This window comes from Homo sapiens, chromosome 1, assembly GCF_000001405.40.
Source record: "Homo sapiens chromosome 1, GRCh38.p14 Primary Assembly".
Classification (NCBI taxonomy): domain Eukaryota; kingdom Metazoa; phylum Chordata; class Mammalia; order Primates; family Hominidae; genus Homo; species Homo sapiens.
The window spans coordinates 50852337-50874575 of record NC_000001.11 but is presented as its reverse complement, the minus strand read 5'-3'; the positions used below and the strand labels follow the sequence as shown (position 1 = coordinate 50874575).

Sequence of the window (22239 nt, the reverse complement as noted above, 5' to 3'; positions counted from 1 at the left end):
ACCAGCCTAGGTAATAGTGAGACTCCATTTCTACGAAAAGTAAAGAAATTAGCTGGGTTTGGTGGTGCTCGCCTGTAGTCCTAGCTACTTGGGAGCTGAGGTGGGAGGATCACTTGAGTTTAGGAGTTCAGTATTATAGTGAGCTGTGATCACACTACTATACTCTAGGCTAGGTGACAGAGTGAGACTCTGTCTCAAAACAATAAATTAAAAACATATAGCAAATATTAAAATTATGAAGTGTTGATGGAGGGTATACCAGGGTATGGGATGGTTTTATTTTTATGTTTAAGAAATTAGTTTTAAGACAGAATGAAGAAAATAATAAACAATAGACTTTCAAATGGTCTGGTAGACTGAAGACCCTCTTTAATACTAAATAAAATCAGCCAGTAGAATAAAGTATTAACAACAAAAATACTAAATATGGTCAAGCTAGAAAGCAAAAATAGACAATTGTCAGGTACTAGAACCAAAAAGGGAAATCAGTGTCATTGCAATGGTTTTATCAGAACCTCCCAGACTAAGCCCCAAATTTTGGGTCTCACATACCCTGCATCATTTCTACAGTTGCTTTCAGCAACTGGCCCTCTCAACTGGATGTAGATACTAGGGGCTGAAGACTGGTCTTATGCCTGGAGATGAGATATAAGACCTCTGTTCTCTAGCAATGATGCAGGGTATGCGAGACCCAAGATTTGCTTAGCCTGGGAGGTTTCTTGGCTTTGCACAGAAAAGAATTCAAGAATGAGTCAGCAGTGAAACACAGCAACTTTATTAAACTCACACTGCCACCTTGCGGAGCAGGGCTAACCTATAGGCAGTGTGCCGAGAGCCCTTGTGGGCTGTTGGTTAATAATTTACACCCACTTTTAATTACATGCAAATTAAGGCACAGGTTTTTCAGAAATCCCTAGAAAAGGAGTGGTAACTTCTGAGTTGTGGCATTTGTAAAGTATCATGGTGTTGGTCGGAGTATCTTATGCTAATGAACAATGAGTGTCACTAGAGGTTGCTTTTGGCGCCATCTGCAGGTTCTGGCCATTTTCTTAAGTTTGTCTTGCCCAGATGGGGAAGTAAGTCCTGCTGGTGTCTTGTCATACAAGGAAGGAGCTATAAAAGCCTGGCGTGTACATTTCAAATAATGTCTAGTAAAATTTTCGTGAAGATTCAGGGAAGCAGTAAAAAAGGTGACCATTTACCCAGGGCCATAGGGGAAAAAGGCATCGTTAGCCTCAAAAAGTGAGAACTATTTTAGGCTCAGTTCCCGACCAATGCGGTAAAGTAGATATCTGAATAAAGTGAGTCACTAATTTTTTGGTTTCCCAGTGCATATAAGTTATATTTACACTATTATGTAGCCCATTAAGTGTGCAGTAGCATTATGTCTTAAAAAGAAAAGCATGTACCTTAATTTTAAAACACTTTATTGTTAAAAAAAATGCTAATTATCACCTGAGCCTTCAGCAAGTATTAATCTTTTTGCTGGTGAAGGGTCTTGCCTCAACGTTGATAGGTGCTGACTGATCAGGATAGTGGTTGCTGAAAGTTGGGGTGGCTCTAGCAATTTCTTAAAATAAGACAACAATTACATTTGCTGCATTGGTTGGCCTTCTTTCATGAGAGGTTTCTGTGTAGCATGCAGTGCTGTTTGATAGCAATTTTTTTTTTTTTTCCAGACGGAGTTTCGCTGTTGTTGCCCAGGCTGGAGTGCAGTGGCGCAATCTCGGCTCACTGCAACTCCGCCTCCCAGGTTCAAGCGATTCTCCTGCCTCAGCCTCCTGAGTAGCTGGGATTACAGGCACCCACCACCACACCCAGCTACTTTTTTTTGTATTTTTAGTAGAGATAGGGTTTCACCATGTTGGGCAGCCTGGTCTCGAACTCCTGACCTCAGGTGTTCTGCCTGCCTCGGCCTCCCAAAGTGCTGGGATTATAGGCATGAGCCACCGCGCCCAGCCTGTTTGATAGCATTTTACACAAACTAGAGCTTCTTTCAAAATTGGAGTCAATCCTCTCAAACCCTACTGCTGCTTTATCAGTTAAGGTTATGTCATAGTCTAAATCCTTTGTTTACATTTCAACAGTGTTCACAGCATCTACATCAGGAGTAGATTTTCATCTCAAGAAACCACTTTTTTTGCTCATCCATAAGAAGCAACTTCGTATCTATTCAGGTTTTATCATAAGATTGCAGCAATTCATGCATATCTTCACACTCCACTTCTAATTCTAGTTATCTTGCTGTCTTCACCATATCTGCAGTTCCTCTGCTGAAGTCTTGAATCCCTCAAAATTATCCATAAGGGTGAGAATCAACTTCTCCCAAACTCTTGTTGATGTTGATATTTTGACCTCTTCCCATGAATTATGAATGGCATCTAGAATGGTGAATCCTTTCCAGAAAGTTTTCAGTGTACTTTGCCCAGATCCATAAGAGGAATCACTATCTACAGCAGCTATTATAGCTTTATGAAATGTATTTTCTTTTTCTTTTTTTTTTTTTTTTTTGAGATGGAGTCTGGCTCTGTTGCCCAGGCTGGAGTGCAGTGGCGCAATCTCGGCTCACTGCAACCTCCGCCTCCCGGGTTCATGCCATTCTCCTGCCTCAGCCTCCCGAGTAGCTGGGACTACAGGCGCCCGCCACTATGCCCGGCTAATTTTTTGTATTTTTGGTAGAGACGGGGTTTCACCGTGTTAGCCAGGATGGTCTCGATCTCCTGACCTCGTGATCCGCCCGCCTCGTTTTTCTAAATAACAAGACTTGAAATTCAAAAATAATCCTTGACCCATGAGCTACAGAATCGATGTTGTGTTAGCAGCCAGAAAAACAACTTTGATCTCTTTGTACATCTCTATCTGAGCTCTTGAGTAACCAAGTGCATTGTCAATGAATAGTAATAGTTTGAAAGGAATCTGTTTTTCTAAGCAGTAGGTCCCAGAAGCTGGGTTAAAATATTGAGTAACCCATATGGTAAAGAGATGTGCTGTCATTCAGGCTTTGTTGTTCCATTTAGAGAGCACAGGCAGAATAGATTTAGCATAATTCTGAAGAGACCTAGGATTTTCAGAATGGTCAATAAGCATTGGCTTCAGTTGAAAGTCACCATCTGCATTAGCCCCTAATGAGAAAGTCAGCCTGCCCTTTGAAGCTTTGAAGCCAGGCATTGACTTCTCTTTTGCTGTGATGATGTTTTCTTCCAATAGAAGGCTGTTTTATCCACATAGAATGTTACTACTGCTGTTTAGTGTAAGCATCTTCATCAATTAGCTAGGTCCTGAATAAAACTTACTACAGCTTCTACATCAGCACTTGCTGCTTCACCTTGCATTTTCATGTTATGGAGATGACTTCCTTCCTTGAACTTCTTGAGCCAACCTCTGCAAGCTTCAAACTTTTCTTCTGCGTGTCCTCACCTGTGTCGTAGAATGTAAGCAAGTTTGGTCCTTGCTCTGCATTAGGTTTTGGCTTAAGCAAAAGTTTCGACTGGTTTAATCTTCTATTCAGACCACTAAAACTTTCTCTATATTAGTAGTAAGGCTGTTCTGCTTTCTTATTATTTGTATATTCACTAGAGTAACACGTAATTTCCCTCAAGAACTTTTCCTTTGCATTCACAATGTGGCTATTTGGTGCAAAAAAACCTTGCTTTAAGCTTATCTCAACTTTCAACATTTCTTTCTCATTAAGCTTAATCATTTTAAGCTTTTGATTTAAAATGAGAAACATGACTTGAACACTTAGAGGCTATTGTTGGATTATTAATTGGCCTCGTTTCAATATTGTGTCTGAGAGAATAGGGACTCCCAAGGAGGAGAGAGATGGGGAACTGGCAGGTCAGCAGAGCAGTGAGGACACATACAACATTTATTGATGAAGTTCATTGTCTTGTGGGCATGGTTTGTGGCGCCTCAAAACAATTACAATAGTAACATCAAAGATCATAGATTACCATAATATATATAATAATAGTGAAAAAGTTTGAAACATTGCAAGAATTACCAAAATGTGACACAGAAACATGCAATTAGCGTGTACTATTGGAAAAATGGTTCTGATGGACTTGCTCGATGCAGGGATGCCATAAACCTCTAATTTTTTCTTTCTTTTTTATTTTTGAGATGGAGTCTTGCCCTGTCACCCAGGCGGGAGTGCAGTGGCGCAATCTCGGCTCTCTGCAACTTGTGCCTCGCGCGTTCAAGTGATTTTCTTGCCTCAGCCTTCCGAGTAGCTGGGACTACAGGCACATGCTGCCATGCTCAGCTAATTTTTTGTATTTTAGTAGAGACGGGGTTTCACTGTGTTGCCCAGGCTGGTCTTGAACTCCTGAGCTCAGTCAGTCAGTCCGCCTTGGCCTCCCAAAGTGCTAGGATTATAGGCGTGAGCCAATGTGCCCGGCCCCTTCAATTTTTTAAAAATGCAATATCTTCACGGTGCTGTAGAGTGTAATAAAATGTGTTTGCTTATACAAAATTCTGTCAAATGATTAAGATTGAATTCATGCAAATTAAAACTGGTCTAGAACTAATGAAGTCCATAAAGTTCAGCAAATGCATGTACAGGAAACACTTTATAAGGATACCATCATAATGCATGGTATGAAAATAAATCTTTCTGAAGATGAACTCAGTTGTTAGACGTTATATACCACAGGAGAAGCCACAATCACATTCAGCAGATGCCAAAATCATAGAACTAACAACTTGAGAACTGGTAACAAAGAGACTTTAAGGTAGATATGTTTAAAATATGTAAAACTGTAGAGAATAGAACTTATAAGCCAGAAATAGTGAAAAAATAGAATAGATTGGATTTTATAAAGAATCTAAAAGTACATCCTCAAAGAAAAAACTCTATACTAGGTAGGTAAATTGGAAAACTATAGGTTTAAAAAAATGGTATAGAAGATAAAGTAAATCATCACTGTACAAATTTGTATAGAAAATTTAAAAGATGACATGGAGGCTAGAATGAGATGCACCTCCATGGCAAGTAGGAGCTCTGAAAGAGCAGAATTGATTATGTAGGAGAGATAATATTCAAATGAATAAAAGTTGAGAATGTCTTAGATTTACTAAAACATGCAACAACAAACACCATGTCATATACTTAACTCATAATAACAAAATAAAAAATAAGCACTAAAAGCCACCAGAGAATGGGATGATTAGAAAATAAGTAGAAGTGTGGCAGACTCAAGCCCAACCATAATAATTACATGAAATATAAGTACTTTAAATACTTTGATATAGAGGCAGATGTTGTTGTAGTGGATAAAAAGCAAGACCTGACTATAGTCTGTCTAAAAGAAATGTACTATAAAAGTAAAGCCACAGTTAAAAAATATGGAAAATTATATACTATGAAACTATTATTGAAAAGCTAGATGACAATATTAATACCAGACTAAGTAGACTTGAGTACAAGGCATATTACCAAAGATAAAAGAAACATAATCGCGGGAGAATCAATTTTTCAAGAAGGTAACACTTCAAATTTGTGTACACTCATTGTCAAGCAAAAATTGGCAAAACTGAAGGCAGATATAGACAAATCCACAAGTACAAATGGAGATTTTCAGAGTTCTCTCTCAGTAATTAATAGAACAAGTAGAATCAGTAAAGATACAGATAATTTGAACAGTACTATCAATAACTAGACTTAATTGACATTTATAGAGTTAAATGGCAATTCCACACAATAACAGATAGAATACACATTTATATGCATATGAAACATTTAGCAATACAGATTATTGGGCTATTAAGTCTTCATAAATTTCCAAGGATGGAAATCATATAGATAAAGTTCTCCATCCACAATGGAATTAAATTACAAATCAACAGCAAAAAGATGTTTGGAAAACTGCATGTGTTTAGGAATTAAGTAACATTCTTCCAAATACAACACATGGGCCAAAAAACAGATCATGAGGAAAACTTTAGAAAAAACTTTGAACTGAATGATAATGAACATACATATAAAAATTTGTGAGATGTAGCTACAGCAGTGCCTAGAGGTAAATTTACAGCTATAAATGCTTACATTAGAAGGGAAGAAGGGATTAAAATCATTGCTCTATACTTCCACCGTAAGAAGCTGGAAGAGCAACTTAAGCCAAATAAGTGGAAAGAAGGAAATAATAAAGATGAATCCAGAAATGAGTGAAATAAAAAATAGAGAAAATAATGAAAGCAAATACTAGTACTTTCTTTTTTACATTTTTTATTTTATCTTTTTTAAAAAATTTCAATAGTTTTTGGGGAACAGGTGGTGTTTGATTACAATGATAAGTACTTTAGTGGTGATTTCTGAGATTTTGGTGCTCCCATCACCCAAGCACTGTGTACTGTACACAATGTGTAGTCTTTTATCCCTCACCTGACTCCCACCCTTCCCCTCAAGTCCCCAAAGTCCCTTGTATCATTCTTATGCCTTTGCATCCTCATAGCTTAGCTCCCACTTATAAATGAGAACATGCAATGTTCGGTTTTCCTTTCCTGAGTTACTTCACTTAGAATGATGGTCTTCAACTCCTTCTAGGTTGCTGTGAGTGCCATTATTTTGTTTCTTTTTATGGCTGAGTAGTATTCCATGGGATATATATACCACACTTTCTTTATTCACTCATTGATTGATGGGAAGTTAGGCTGGTTCCATATTTTTGTAATTGCAAATTGTGCTGCTATAAACGTGTGTGCAAGAGTCTTTTTCATATAATGACTTCTTTCCCTCTGGGTAGGTACCCAGGAATGGGATTGCTGGATAAAATGATGGATCTACTTTTAGTTCTTTAAGGAATCTCCATGCTGTTTTTCATAGTGGTGTACTAGTTTACATTCCCACCAGCAGTGTAAAAGTGTTCTATTTTCACCACATCCACAGCAACAGCTATAATTTTTTTAGATTTTGATTAAGGCCATTCTTGCAAGAGTAAAGTGGTATCGCATTGTGGTTTTGATATGCATTTGCCTGATCATTAGTGATGTCAAGCATTTTTTCATTTTTTTTTGCCATTTGTATGTCTTCTTTTGAGAATTGTCTATTCATGTCCCTAGCCCAGTTTTTAATAGGATTGTTTGTTTTTTTCTTGCTGATTTGAGTTCCTTATAGATTCCAGATATTAGTTCTTTGTTGGATGCATAATTTACCAAGATTTTCTCCCACTCTGTGGGTTGTCAGTTTATGCTGCTGATTGTTTCTTTTCCTGTGCAGAAGCTTTTGAGTTTAGTTAAGTTTCATCTATTTATCTTGGATTTTGTTCCATTTGCTTTTGTGTTCTTGGTCATGAAGTCTTTGCCTAAGCCAATGTCAAGAATAGTTTTTCCAATGTTATCTTCTTGAGTTGTACGGTTTCAGGTTTTAGATTTAAGTCTTTGATCCATGTTGTGTTGAGTTTTTATAAGGTGAGAGATGAGGATCCAGTTTCATTCTTCTGCATGTGGCTAACCAGTTATCCCAGGATCATTTGTTGAATAGGGTGTTCTTTCCACACTTTATGTTTTTGTTTGCTTTGTTGAAGATTGGTTGGCTATAAGTATTTGGCTTTATTTCTGTTCTGTATTCTGTTGCATTGGTCTATATGCCTATTTTTATACCAGTACCATGATGTTTTGGTGACCATAGCCTTGTAGTATAGTTTGAAGTTGGGTAATGTTATGCCTCCAGATTTGTTCTTTTTGTTTAGTCTTATTTTGGCTATATGGTCACTTTTTCGGTTTCATATGAATTTTAGGATTGTTTTCTCTAGTTTTGTGAAGAATGATGATGGTATTTTGATGGCAATTGCATTGAAGTTCCAGATTGCTTTTGGCAGTATGGTCATCTTTCTAGTATTGATTCTACCCATCCATGATCATGGGATGTGTCCATTTGTGTCATCTATGATTTCTTTCAGCATTGTTTTGTAGTTTCTCTTCTGGAGGTCTTTCATCTCCTTGGTTAAGTATATTCCTAAGGTTTTTTGTTTTTTGTTTTGCAGCTATTTTAAAGGGGGTTGAGTTCTCGGTTTGATTCTCAGCTTGATCACTGTTGGTGTATAGCAGTGCTACTGATTTGTGTATTTGATTTTGTATCCTGAAACTAACACTGAATTCATTTATCATATCTAGGAGCTTTTTGGATGAGTCTTTAGTGTTTCCTAGGTATACAATTATATCATCGGCAAACATCAACAGTTTGACTTCCTCTTTACTGGTTTGGATGTGCTTTATTTCTTTCTCTTGTCTGACTGCTCTGGCTAGGACTTCCAGTACTATGTTGAATAGAAGTGGTGAAAGTGGGCATCCTTATCTTGTTCCAGTTCTCAGGGGGAATGCTTTCAGCTTTTCCTGGAACTTCAGTATAATGTCGGCTGTGGGTTTGTCATTACCTTAAGGTATGTCCTTTCTATGCTGATTTTGCTGAGGGTTTTAATCACAGAGAAATGCTGGATTTTGTCAACTGCTTTTCCTGCATCTATTGAGATTATCATGTGATGTTTGTTTTTAATTTTGTTTATGTGGTGTATCACATTTATTGACTTGTGTATATTAAACCATCCTGGCATCCCTGGTATCAAACTCACTTGATCATGGTGGATTCTCATTTTGATATGCAGTTGGATTTGGTTAGTATCAGTTGTAGTATCTCCCCTTTCATTTGTAATTGAGCTTAGTTGGATCTTTTCTTTTGGTTAATCTCGGTAATGGTCTGTGAATTTTGTTCATCTTTTCTTTTTTTTTTTCTTTTATTATTATTATACTTTAAGTTTTAGGGTACATGTGCACAATGTGCAGGTTAGTTACATATGTATACATGTGCCATGCTGGTGTGCTGCACCCATTAACTCGTCATTTAGCATTAGGTATATCTCCTAAAGCTATCCCTCCCCCCTCCCCCCACCCCACAACAGTCCCCAGAGTGTGATGTTCCCCTTCCTGTGTCCATGTGTTCTCATTGTTCAATTCCCACCTATGAGTGAGAATATGCAGTGTTTGGTTTTTTGTTCTTGCAATAGTTTACTGAGAATGATGATTTCCAATTTCGTCCATGTCCCTACAAAGGACATGAACTCATCATTTTTTATGGCTGCATAGTATTCCACGGTGTATATGTGCCACATTTTCTTAATCCAGTCTATCATTGTTGGACATTTGGGTTGGTTCCAAGTCTTTGCTATTGTGAATAGTGCCACAATAAACATACGTGTGCATGTGTCTTTATAGCAGCATGATTTATAGTCCTTTGGGTATATACCCAGTAATGGGATGGCTGGGTCAAATGGTATTTCTAGTTCTAGATCCCTGAGGAATCGCCACACTGTCTTCCACAGTGGTTGAACTAGTTTACAGTCCCACCAACAGTGTAAAAGTGTTCCTATTTCTCCACATCCTCTCCAGCACCTGTCGTTTCCTGACTTTTTAATGATCGCCATTCTAACTGGTGTGAGATGGTAACTCATTGTGGTTTTGATTTGCATTTCTCTGATGGCCAGTGATGGTGAGGATTTTTTCATGTGTTTTTTGGCTGCATAAATGTCTTCTTTTGAGAAGTGTCTGTTCATGTCCTTCGCCCACTTTTTGATGGGGTTGTTTTTTTTCTTGTAAATTTGTTTGAGTTCATTGTAGATTCTGGATATTAGCCCTTTGTCAGATGAGTAGGTTGTGAAAATTTTCTCCCATTTTGTAGGTTGCTTGTTCACTCTGATGGTAGTTTCTTTTGCTGTGCAGAAGCTCTTTAGTTTAATTAGATCCCATTTGTCAATTTTGGCTTTTGTTGCCATTGCTTTTGGTGTTTTACACATGAAGTCCTTGCCCATGCCTACGTCCTGAATGGTAATGCCTAGGTTTTCTTCTAGGGTTTTTATGGTTTTAGATCTAACGTTTAAGTCTTTAATCCATCTTGAATTGATTTTTGTATAAGGTGTAAGGAAGGGATCCAGTTTCAGCTTTCTACATATGGCTAGCCAGTTTTCCCAGCACCATTTATTAAATAGGGAATCCTTTCCCCATTGCTTGTTTTTCTCAGGTTTGTCAAAGATCAGATAGTTGTAGATATGTGGTGTTATTTCTGAGGGCTCTGTTCTGTTCCATTGATCTATATCTCTGTTTTGGTACCAGTACCATGCTGTTTTGGTTACTGTAGCCTTGTAGTATAGTTTGATGTTCTTTGAAACCAACCAGAACAAAGACACAACATACCAGAATCTCTGGGACACATTCAAAGCAGTGTGTAGAGGGAAATTTATAGCACTAAATGCCCACAAGAGAAAGCAGGAAAGATCCAAAATTGACACCCTAACATCACAATTAAAAGAACTAGAAAAGCAAGAGCAAACACATTCAAAAGCTAGCAGAAGGCAAGAAATAACTAAAATCAGAGCAGAACTGAAGGAAATAGAGACACAAAAAACCCTTCAAAAAATTAATGAATCCAGGAGCTGGTTTTTTGAAAGGATCAACAAAATTGATAGACCGCTAGCAAGACTAATAAAGAAGAAAAGAGAGAAGAATCAAATAGACACAATAAAAAATGATAAAGGGGATATCACCACTGATCCCACAGAAATACAAACTACGATCAGAGAATACTACAAACACCTCTACGCAAATAAACTAGAAAATCTAGAAGAAATGGATAAATTCCTCGACACATACACTCTCCCAAGACTAAACCAGGAAGAAGTTGACTCTCTGAATAGACCAATAACAGGCTCTGAAATTGTGGCAATAATCAGTAGCTTACCAACCAAAAAGAGTCCAGGACCAGATGGATTCACAGCCGAATTCTACCAGAGGTACAAGGAGGAACTGGTACCATTCCTTGTGAAACTATTCCAATCAATAGAAAAAGAGGGAATCCTCCCTAACTCATTTTATGAGGCCAGCATCATCCTGATAGCAAAGCCGGGCAGAGACACAACCAAAAAAAGAGGATTTTAGACCAATATCCTTGATGAACATTGATTCAAGAATCCTCAATAAAATACTGAATTTTGTTCATCTTTTCAAAGAAGCAGCTTTTTGTTTCATTTATCTTTTGTAGTTTTGTTTGTTTCAATTTCATTTAGTTCTGCTCTGATATTGGTTGTTTCTTTTTTTCTGCTGGGTTTGGGTTTGTTTTCTTCTTGTTTCTCTAGTTTCTTGAGGTATGACCTTAGATTGTCTATTTGTGCTCTTTGAGACTTTTTGATCTAGGCATTTAATGGTATGAACTTTCCTCTTAGTACCACTTTTGCTGTATCCCAGAGGTTTTGATAGGTTGTGCCATTATTATTGTTAAGTTCAAATAATTTTTTAGTTTCCATTTTGATTTCATTGTTGACCCAAAGATCATTCAGGAGCGGATTATTTAATTTCCATGTATTTGCATGGTTTTGAGGGTTTCTTTTGGAGTCGATTTCCAATTTTATTCTACTGTGGTCTGACAGAATACTTGATATAATTTTGATTTTCTTAAATTGATTGGAACTCATTTTGTGGCCTACCATATGACCTATCTTGGAGAATGTTCCATGTACTGATGAATAGAATGTATATTCTGCAGTTGTTGGGTAGAATGTTCTGTAAATGTCTGTTAAGTCCATTTGTTCTAGGGTATAGTTTAAGTTCATTGTTTCTTTGTTGACTTTCTGTCTAGTGCTGTCAGTGGAATATTGAAGTCTCCTGCTATTACTGTGTTGCCATCATCTCATTTCCTAGAGCTTTTATAAATGGGAGCTCCAGTGTTTAGTGTATGTATATTTAGCATTGTAATATTTTCCTGTTGTACTAGTCCCTTTATCATTATATAATGTCCCTTTTTGTCTTTTTTAACTGTTGTTGCTTTAAAGTTTGTTTTTTTCTCATATAAGAATAGCTACTCTTGCTTGCTTTTGGTGTCCATTTGCCTGGAATATCTTTCCCCTTTACCTTAAGTTTGTGTGAGTCTTTATGTGTTAGGTGAGTCTCTTGAAGACAGCAGATATTTGGTTGGTGAATTCTTATCCATTCTGCCATTCTATATCTTTTAAGTGGAGCATTTAGGCCATTTACGTTTGATGTTAGTATTGAGATGTGAGGTGCAGTTACTCTATTGTGCTAACAAATACGAGATCTTATTCCTCTATCTGACTGTGTTTTTGTACCCATTAACTATCCCATCTTTATTCTCCTCTGCCCACTGCCCTTGCCAGTTGCTCGTTACCATCATTTTGCTCTCTATCCAGCGTTCTCTATTTTTGACACTTTATTCCTCTGATTTCTTTTAGCTTTTTGTTCATGGTATTTTAGCTCTATAAGTATGTTTAAGATGATGATTGATAGACTTTGTCTACTGAGTTGGATGTCTGTTTTTCCTCTGTACAGCTTCTGTTAATTTCTCTCTTGAATGGGCCACATACTTTGTTGGTTCTCTGCATACTTTACATGTATTTAAATAGACATTTAAAACATACAGTATGATATCTCTGGAAGTTAGATTGGTCCTCATTCCCATGTGTTTTTTTTTTTCGTTGCTTTCTGTGGGTTGCAGTTGTTTGTTTAATGACTTCTAAACTATTTTTGTAACTTTGTTTTCTTTGTCATAAGTGGTTCCTGTCTTAGTCTATTTGTCCATCATAACAAAATACAATAGTCTGGTTGGCTTCAACAAATGACATTTATCTCCTTGTAGTTCTGAAAGCTGATTGTGTGTCATCAGGGTACCAGAGTAGTCAGTTTCTGGTGAGGGCTCTCTTTCTCACTTGCAGATGGCTGCTGTCTTGCTGTGTTCTCACCTGATGGGGTGGTGAGGGAGACAGAAATTTTTTTTTTAATTATTTAGTTTTCCTTTCTAGTCTTTCAAGCTTGAAACAAATTCTTTGGTATCTCTTCTTACAAGGGCATTAATCTTTTTTTTAAATAACTTTTTATTTTTATGGACTTAGGAATACAAGTGCAGTTATGTTACATGGATATATTGTATAGTGGTAAAGTTTGGGCTTTTAGTGTACCTATCACCTGAATAGTGTACACTGTACCCAATAAGTAGCATTTTTGTCCCTTACTACCTCCTACCCTGCCACATTTTGGAGTCTCCAGTGTCTGTCATTCTACTCTGTATGTTTATGTGTCTCCATTGTTTAACTCTCACAAGTAAGAACATACGGTTTTTGACTTTCTGTTTCGGGGTCATTTCACTAAGGATAATGGCCTCCAGATTCATCCATGTAAGGGCACTAATCCTATCATGAAGATTCTACCTTCATAACCTCATCTAGTCCTAGTTACCTCTCAAAGACCTCATCTCCAAATACCATCATAGTGGATTTTAGGATGTCACCATAGGAGGATACAGATATTCAATCCATAGCAGTCTCTTGTTTTTAATATGTGGTCTACTAGTGTTTTGTTTTTCAACTGTTGTTTTAGATTCAGGGAGTACAGATAGAAGTTTATTACCTAGATATATTGTGTGATGCTTGAGGTATGAAATGATCTTGTCACTCAGGTACTCAACATAGTACTGAATAGTCAACCCTTGCCTCTCTCCCCATTCTAGTAGTGCAGTTTTATTGTTGCCTTCTTTCTGTCCATGAGTACCTGATGTTTAGCTCTCACTTATAAGTGAGAAAATGTGGTGTATTGTTTTTTCTTTCTGCATTAATTCGCTTAGGATTATGGCTTCCAGCTTAACCCATGTTGCTGCAAAGGACATGACGTAGTTCTCTTGATGGCTGCATAGTATTCCACAGTGTATACATGCCACATTTTCTTTATCCAGTCCATTGTTGATGGGCACATGGGTTGATTCCATGTCTTTGCTATTGTGAATAGTGCTGCGATTAACGTGTGAGTGAATTTGTCTTTTTGGTACAATGAATTTTTTTTTAATATATACATAGGGATTTCTGAGTTAAATGCTGTTTTAAGTTGAGAAATCTACAAACTGCTTTTGTAGTAGCTGAACTAAGTTGTATTTCCACCAACAGTGTATAAATATTCCCTTTGTATCTGCGGCCTCACTAGCATCTGTTTTTTAAAAAATATATTTTAATAATAGTCACTTTGACTGGTGTGAGATGGTATGTCATTGTAGTTTTGATTTGCATTTCTCTGTGATTGGTGATGTGGAACATTTTTTCATGTTTGTTGGCCATGTGTACGTCTTCTTTTGAGAAGTGTCTGTTCATGTCCTTTGCCCATTTTTTAATGGGGTTACTTGTCTTTTGCTTGTTGATTTAAGTTGCTTATAGATTCTGGATATTAGATCTTGTCACATGTGTAGTTTGTGAATATTTTATCCTATTCTGTAGGTTGTATGTTTACCCTGTTGATAGTTTCTTTTGCTGTGCAGAAGCTCTTTAGTATAATTAGGTCTAACTTGTCAATTTTGGTTTTGGTTGCAGTTGATTTTGATAACTTAGTAGTAAATTCTTTGCCAAGATTGATGTCCAGAATGGCATTTCTTAGGTTTTCTTCTAGATTCTTATAGTTTGAGGTCTTACATTTAAATCTTTAATCCATCCTGAGTTAATTTTTGTGTATGGTGAAAAGTAGGGGTCTAGTGTCATTCTTCTGTACATGGGTAGCCAGCTATCCCAGCACTGTTTGTTTATTCAATAGGCAGTCCTTTCCCTATTGCTTATTTTTGTAGGCTTTGTTGAAGATCAAATGGCTGTAGTTGTGCAAGCAGCTTTATTTCTGGGTTCTCTATTCTGTTCCATGAGTGTTTATGTCTGTTTTTGTATCGATTCCATGCTGTTTTGATTATTGTATCCTTACAGTATAGTTTGAAGTTGGATAATGTGATGCCTCCAGCTTTGTTCTTTTTGCTTAGGATTACTTTGGCTATTTGGGCTCTTTTTTGATTCCATATGAATTTTAGTTTTTTCTAGTTTGTGACAAATAACATTGGTAGTTTGATAGGAATAGCATTGAATCTCTGGATTGCATTGGGCAGTGTGGCCATTTTAATGATATTGATTCTTCCAACCTGTGAGCATGGAATGTTTTTTATTTGTGTGGTCTCTGATTTCTTTCAGCAGTGTTTTGTAGTTCTCCTTGTAGAGATCTTTCATCTCCTTGGTTAACCACATTCCTAGGTATTTCATTTTCTTTGTGGCTATTGTAAATGGGATTATATTCTTGATTTGGCTTTCAGCTGGAGTGTTATTGGTGTGTAGAAATGCTACTGATTTTTGTACATCGATTTTTGTGTCTTGAAACTTTACTGAAGTTATCGGTTCCAGGATCCTTTTTGCAGTCTTTAGGGTTTTCTAGATACAGAATCATATTATTTATGAAGTGAGATAGTTTGACTTCTTCTTTTCCTATTTAGATGCCTTTTATTTCTTTCTCTTGGTTGATTGCTCTGGCCAACACTTCCAGTACTATGTTGAATATAAGTGGTGAGAGTGGACATCCTTGCCTTGTTTCAGTTCTCAAGAGGAATGCTTCCAGTTTTTGGCCATTCAGTATATTAGGTGTGAGTTAGGCTCTTATTATTTTGTGATATATTCCTTTGATGCCTACTTTCTTGAGGGTTTTCCTTGTAAAGGGATGTTGGGTTTTATTGAAAACTTTTTCCGCATCTATTGAGATGATTGTGTGGTTTTTGCTTTTAATTCTGTTTGTGTGGTGAATCATATGCCCAACCAACCTTGTATCCCAAGAATGAAGTATACTTAATTGTGGTTAATTTACTTTTTGATGTGCTGTTGGATTTGGTTTGGTGGCCTGAGAATAAAATGCCTACACTGCCATGAGCTGGGTCACCAGAGAATGGCTGACTTTATTAATGTGCCCAGCTTAAAAATGGCATCCTGCTAGTTAATATTTGCTTAGTTTGGTCACAAGTATGTCCTCATATATTTTTTTCAAGAACAACACCAGAAATATAATTTCATATATGTAGTTAATTTTTTCTTAGTATTTATGTTAAAGGGGTAAAAAGAAATGTGTGAAATTAATTTTAACATGTTTTATTTAAGCTAGTATGTCAAAAATTTCCATTTCAACATGTATTCAGAGGAAAAATTATTAATGAGATAGCTTACATTTTTAATTTTGGTGCTAAGTCTTACCTGGTGTGTATTTCGTACTTATAGCACATCTTAACTCAGTTGAGCCACATTTCAAGGACTCACTAGCCACATGTGTCTAGCAGCTACCAGAGAGCGGCTGGTAGTGGCTATCAGACAGCACAGATCTAGTTTTATAGTTTTCGATTTTAGTTTAGGTCTAGGTCTGTTATATATTTTGAGTTAGTTTTTATATAAAGTGCATGGTATGGGTTGAAATTCATTTGTTTTACATGTGGTTGCCCATGAGAATCTTTGACTAAAAGTTGTTCTTGGTAATTAGAGATCATCCTGGGTATCAAAGCTCAAAATTTAAATATACTTTCTTTTCCTGCTTTATTGTCTTTTTTTCAGAGCAATGTAAATTTACTTTGTAATTAACAATGTTCACACCATATATGTAAAATGCTTAGAAGTGTTAAACTTTTAGTGTTTTGGCTTTATTCATATACCTATTTGAATTTAAATTACATATTATGCTATTTACATTTTTAAGTCTGATTTACCTCCCTATTTCTAAAATTATATGTAAAATGCTTATTTACTTTCTTTCCAGGCATGTACTGGCATTGAAAACATTGACGAAGCTATTACATTGCTTGAACAAAATAATTGGGACTTAGTGGTAAGTACTTTTTTCTTTCTCTGATGAGTAATCAAATTTTATGAATTCTTGAATGTCTTTAATTATTTTTTATAGATGGGTTCAGCATACCATAGCTCATCTATAACTCTAAGCTGAGTTAATAAAGTCTAAATGCCATATCTTTAATATGAAGTTTATATTTAGCTCAGTATTAAGTTATTATGAATACTTAGATAATTTAATTGACTTTTAAAGTTTTTCTCTTATTTTACTGTGTGTTATGGTTCATCTTCCCACGTAATTTTTTGGTGGAGATGCTCGGAAGGAGAGAAGAGTCAGAGTTGTCTGTCTGAATAACATATTTGATGTTTCCCCCTCACTTCTGGGGCCTTCACTGATAATTAATCTTTTCTAAAGCTGTTAAAGTAGTTGCATTCTGCTATGGTTTTCCTTAGAAACTTCAGGCAGTATATTATAGAGGTGGCTTAGTTTTTTCTTTTTTGGCAGTAATCAAAAGGCGAGGCACAGCATAGCACTAAACATTCACCTATTACAAAGCAAACCAAAAATGGATTGTATAATGGCATTGGAGCAGTATTGGTTGTGTCAGGATGACACAGATGTCTCTTAATGCCTTAGAAATGCTAAAAAAAAAAGTTTAAATTATAATTTTGAAGAAGTGCTAATTTTCAAAAGTCAAAACTTAAGATGTGTACTTATAGAAGTGAGTTTAGATATGTAGGTATATGCACACATATGTTATGTGGACTTACATAATTAACTCTTGGTGTCTGTGTGCTTTATGTAGACTTAATACTTTTTTAAACTCAAAATATGAAAAGCTTTTCTTTTCAGATTAAAAGTAATGATGCTTAATGTAATGAAATGAGATGAAAAATTTACAAAGAAAATATTAATTACCTTTAATCCCATCACTCAGATAATAATTGTTTCACATTTTTAAGGTATATTATTCCAGATTATCTTCTATAATTATGTGATTAAATTTAAAAAATAGACAACTGAGATTGTTTTATACCTTCTGTTCTGTAATCTGCATTTTTCACTTAATTGTGGCTGTTCATCATTCTTTTTAATGTTTGCATAGTATTTCATAGTGTCACTGTAACATAATTAACCAACTAGTCCTATGCTGTTGGGTATTTAAGATTTTTGCAGCATTTTGCTATTATGAACATTACTGTAGAGAACATTCCTGCATATACATGTTACATATTTAACCTATTTTTTTCAGAAGAAATTGAATAAATTCAATTCATAATTGAATTTCTGAGGCAAATTACATGCATATTTTTGGAGTTTTGAATACTTTTAACCAAATGGACTTCCAGATTGGTTTTACTAATTTAAAATTCTACCAACTATGTATATTTTTGATATTTCCATTTCATTAAACCAATGCTTCCTTATCTTTTTTGTGTTTTGGTACTTGTCAAAATTTACAAATATTTGTATAGCTTGACTCTAAATTCATGCTTTTAACCATTGTTGCTATACTCCAACAAAGCATGATATAGGTGACAGCTCCATGATTGCCATGTAGAGGAAGGGAGAAAGAGCAGTGGCTTAATCGAAACGATGCTCCCAAGTTTCTTGTCTTGAGTCTTCTTTTGCAATAATAAGTGCTTTGCTTTATTTAGTTGTATATTTTGGGAGTGTCTATTAGAGAGGCTGATGGAAGTTATTGGGGTGGTTAAAAATTCCTCCAAGCCCCTCTTGCATGATACTTGTAAGAGGGATATGGAATAGAGGAAAGGGTGATGGTGGGCTGGGAGTACAAGTCTTTAATGGAGGAATTACCAGTTTTGGGGATGGATATATGTTCTTTCCTTATCTGCTTCCTATTGGTTCGTGTCCACTAATTTTGAAGGTTAAAACACTTACTGGTAGTGAATATTTTTATCAGTACAGCCTATGCAGAATATTGTAAAAGGAGAATTTTCCCAGATAATGTTGAATAATTGAATGGTAAGGTACTCTTCCACTATTTCTGAGTTATTTTATTTTGGAGAATATTCTAACAACACTTGGGGTTAAAACACTGGTGTTATATTTGTGCAGAAATGCAATCATACACTGTATCAGGCCCAAGCAAAAACATCAGGCTATCTTTCAGAACCTTAAATTTTGGCTTTCTTTTGAGATATGTCTATCTCCTAGCTGGCTTTTCTTCACAAATAATTCACTTTTATTCACAGTAAAGATTTATTGTGCTTTGTAACTATCTTGCTGTTTACATTTTATCATTTATCCTGTTTTCATGCAGCATTCACTTTGTTGTTTTTAAAAATGAAACAAATATTTTGAATAATCCATCACTAGTTTAAACTTTTCAGTAGCATCATGGAACTTTATGTGATGTCCTCTATATTTTGCCTGTGTGTTATAGTTTGTGTTTATAAATTATGACTATCACTGATCTGCATTTTCTAGGGTTTACAGAACAGTTTGCATTAATTGAGTTGTAACCTCGGATATGTCTGTATTTTATATTTCCTGCACATATCACTTGGACCTCTTCTCCAGTGTTTTTGTGCACATTTTTGCTAGGGAAATGTAAAGGAATCTGAGTTAGGCACTACAATCTGGAATTGTGATGAACTTAAAAAAAATCTAATAAAAAAACACATTCAGTGAGCACTGAGTGCTTACAGTGCATCCAGATTTTTGCTAGATAAAGAGTGGGGGCTTAAAAAATATAACAAGATGTAGTCTCTAACTTTGAGAATTGTGCTAAAAAATCAATAAGACACATGATCTCTGATCTGTGTGTATTACACAGGTCAAGTATTCCTTATCCGAAATGCTTGGGACCAAAAGAATGTCCAGATTTTGGATTTTTTCAGATTTTGGTATATTTACATTATACTGTTGAATATTAGTATCGCTAATCCAAAAATCTAAAATCCAAAATGTTCAATCGAGGATTTCCTTTCAAACATCATCCAAAATGTTCCATCGAGCATTTCCTTTCAAACATCATCCAAAATGTTCCATCGAGCATTTCCTTTCAAACATCATCCAAAATGTTCCATCGAGCATTTCCTTTTGAACATCATGTTGGCACTCAAAAGATTTAGGATTTTGGAGCACTTTGGATTTTGGATTTTTGGATTAGGGATGCTCAAAGTAACTTCCTAAAAAAACGGTGATTGCAAATATTTTAGCTATTTTGTAGATCTAAACACACTGATAACAGCTATTCTATAGGAAAATAGAGCCCAGTCCTAGGAGTTCTGATTATTAGTCACTTTCCCAGACCTGGCACATTATTTTTGTTATGTGGGCTGCTGTCTGCAAAAGAGGTATTCCAAACTCTATGTTTTAAGTACTCTACACTTGGCTCCACTTATTTTGGGGTAACTGCAGGTTAGATTATATATGTCAAAATTCTGAAAACAAAGTTACATGTACTAATACTTTTAGGAAATGTCTCAGCCTACTGTTTTACTTGACAGGAACCCTGTAGGTCTGTCCCAAGGTTATCTCCCTCTGACTGTTACCATTTTTCACATTGTCCTGCGCTTAGAGTTAAGAGAAGATGAATGTCATTACAGCTGAGATTCCTCCCTTGAGATGAGTATTTTCCATTTATACCCAGAAAGGTAAGTACATAAGGAAGAACTAGTGACAGTGAGTTAGAATCTTTTACCAAAGGGCTGTCTTTTTCCGTGGAAGTGTGCTACATGAACATTATAAATTCTAATCTGGGCCCCAGAATTGACCCACGTCTCACTTTCTGTTTTCACTATAGAAGAATTTGGGTCAGGGGAGAATAAAAATCTATATGGCTTGTGTAATTTTGACTAATCAAAATGTTAGCTATAGTGGTAAACACACTGCATTAATTGAATGAAGAGCCCTGGCTTTTCAGACCTCTTAGTAATTTATTGAGTATGGCCTTGGCTAAGTTACTTCTCTCTAACTTCTGAATTCCTCATATAAAATGAAGGGTTTGTACCCTAGATTATACTCAAGCTTCCATGATATATGAAGTATTTCTGAAGGATCTATTTTGTCCTAATTTTTTGTTAAAATTCAATGAATAGCAGTCAATTATAAATAGTAGTACAGATTTTTAATAGATCTTCATAAGTTTGAAACATTTGTATACATACTATTAAAAATTATTTTGACAACTTTATAGTGTAGATGATGGCAGGAGAAGATGCTCTGCCACTTATTTTACACACGGTCTCTAGATATGAAACTCCTTCAATAAATTAAAATTTCCAATAATCTGTAGCAGATCCAGGGAAAGATATCTGACATATACTTGATAACCCAATGTTAAGTGAAATAAAGTGAAAGTAAACATTAACCTAGCCATACTACGTTTTAAGTACTTGATACTCTTAGGAAATGATTTTTGAACTTTGCACTCAATTTCTGCTGTAGTTTGCTGCCTGTGCTGACATTGCTGTTTTGCTGAAGAAAGACTCTATTCAGAGTGCTTATATTTGTCTTTAACTACATGTTTCAACCTACAAGAGTGAAACAAATCCGCATATGTGTTTCTATATTGTCATGGAATTTTTAGTCCTCGAAGATAATTTTGTACTAATAGAAGCTTATAGTACAGTCATATACACTGAAGAGTCAAAACTAAGGAAAATTGTACTGCACATAATCTGCCTCATTTTAAGATCCATTGAGGTACTTTGAGAAATTTCCTCCAATTTTCACTTTTGAAGGAACATATCTTAATGTTTGCCCTAAAATTTCATGTAGCAGTTCCACTACTCTGCTCAGGATGTGGCTGTAGAGGTCCTCAAATGTGCACTGCTTTTCTACTTTATACAGTGTTATGAACACCTGCAGTTTTATGAATGAATAGACTAACCATTGATAATAATGAGTCTCTGTCCTCATCCGAAAGCAGCCAAGCATTGAGCACTGCCCTTCATCAGTGGCTATCAGACACTGGTTTATATTTGCACAGATGCTTGCTACAACAAAAGATAAGTTACTGTGAAAGAATAGCTCATCATATCAATTTCTGCTTCTTTGCTACAGCCCATTATTTACAAAATTTTTCAATTTCTCTGTTTTTTAACCTGACAACCATTCCATCTTCTATTGTCTCTTCTTTAATTGAGGGTTTATTTTGTGTTAGGCATCATATCCAGTGATACACTTACATTATTTCACTTAATCCTCACAGCAGTCCCCAAAAGTAAATAGGTAAATGTTAGTTTTATTATATAGATGAGAAACTGAGGGCTAATGAAGTTAAGTAAACTGTCCAAGCTCACATAGCTGTTAAGGGGTAAAGTTTTGAACCCAGGCCTGTCAGTTCATGAGGAATTGTCATAGCGGTAAACCACATTTTAAGATTACTTATCACATTTTCCCTACCTAGTATGCTTTTCTTCTCTGTACTGGCTTTTTTCTTCCTACCACTTATAAATAATATCATATTGAGCTTTGGCTGTAATCACATAGTAGTGCTTTACTCTAAATACATTTCTGCTTTGTTTTCAAATAGATTCTCAGTTCTAGAGGAAGGGAATTGTGTTTCTTATTAATTTTGTCTGTGACATATAGTAATTGCCTAATGAATACTTGACTGATTGAGTTATTAGCAAGCTTACTTTTAGGTCTGTTCTT

General features: G+C 35.8%; 1 protein-coding gene across 4 annotated transcripts in view, besides 1 other annotated feature; it reads left to right on the top strand.

Moving 5' to 3' along the window:
* Positions 1–22239, top strand: part of FAF1 (Fas associated factor 1) — a 523240-nt gene that overhangs the window by 85692 nt on the left and 415309 nt on the right. For 3 of the 4 annotated variants that reach the window (NM_007051.3, XM_047442745.1, XM_047442743.1), the window contains one exon: positions 16579–16647. In NM_007051.3, coding sequence (NP_008982.1) covers positions 16579–16647 — 69 coding nt within the window. Of the gene's footprint in view, positions 1–11678; positions 11715–16578; positions 16648–22239 lie in introns of those variants that run through there. The other variant, XM_024452734.2, reaches the window with a different exon arrangement.
* Positions 625–919: an enhancer, noted in NCBI's record as "tiled region #673; HepG2 Activating non-DNase unmatched - State 13:Ctcf, and K562 Activating DNase unmatched - State 5:Enh". NCBI's record gives its function as "activates a minimal TATA promoter and a strong SV40 promoter by Sharpr-MPRA in HepG2 and K562 cells {active_cell/tissue: HepG2 | K562}" and the evidence as "EXISTENCE:reporter gene assay evidence [ECO:0000049][PMID:27701403]".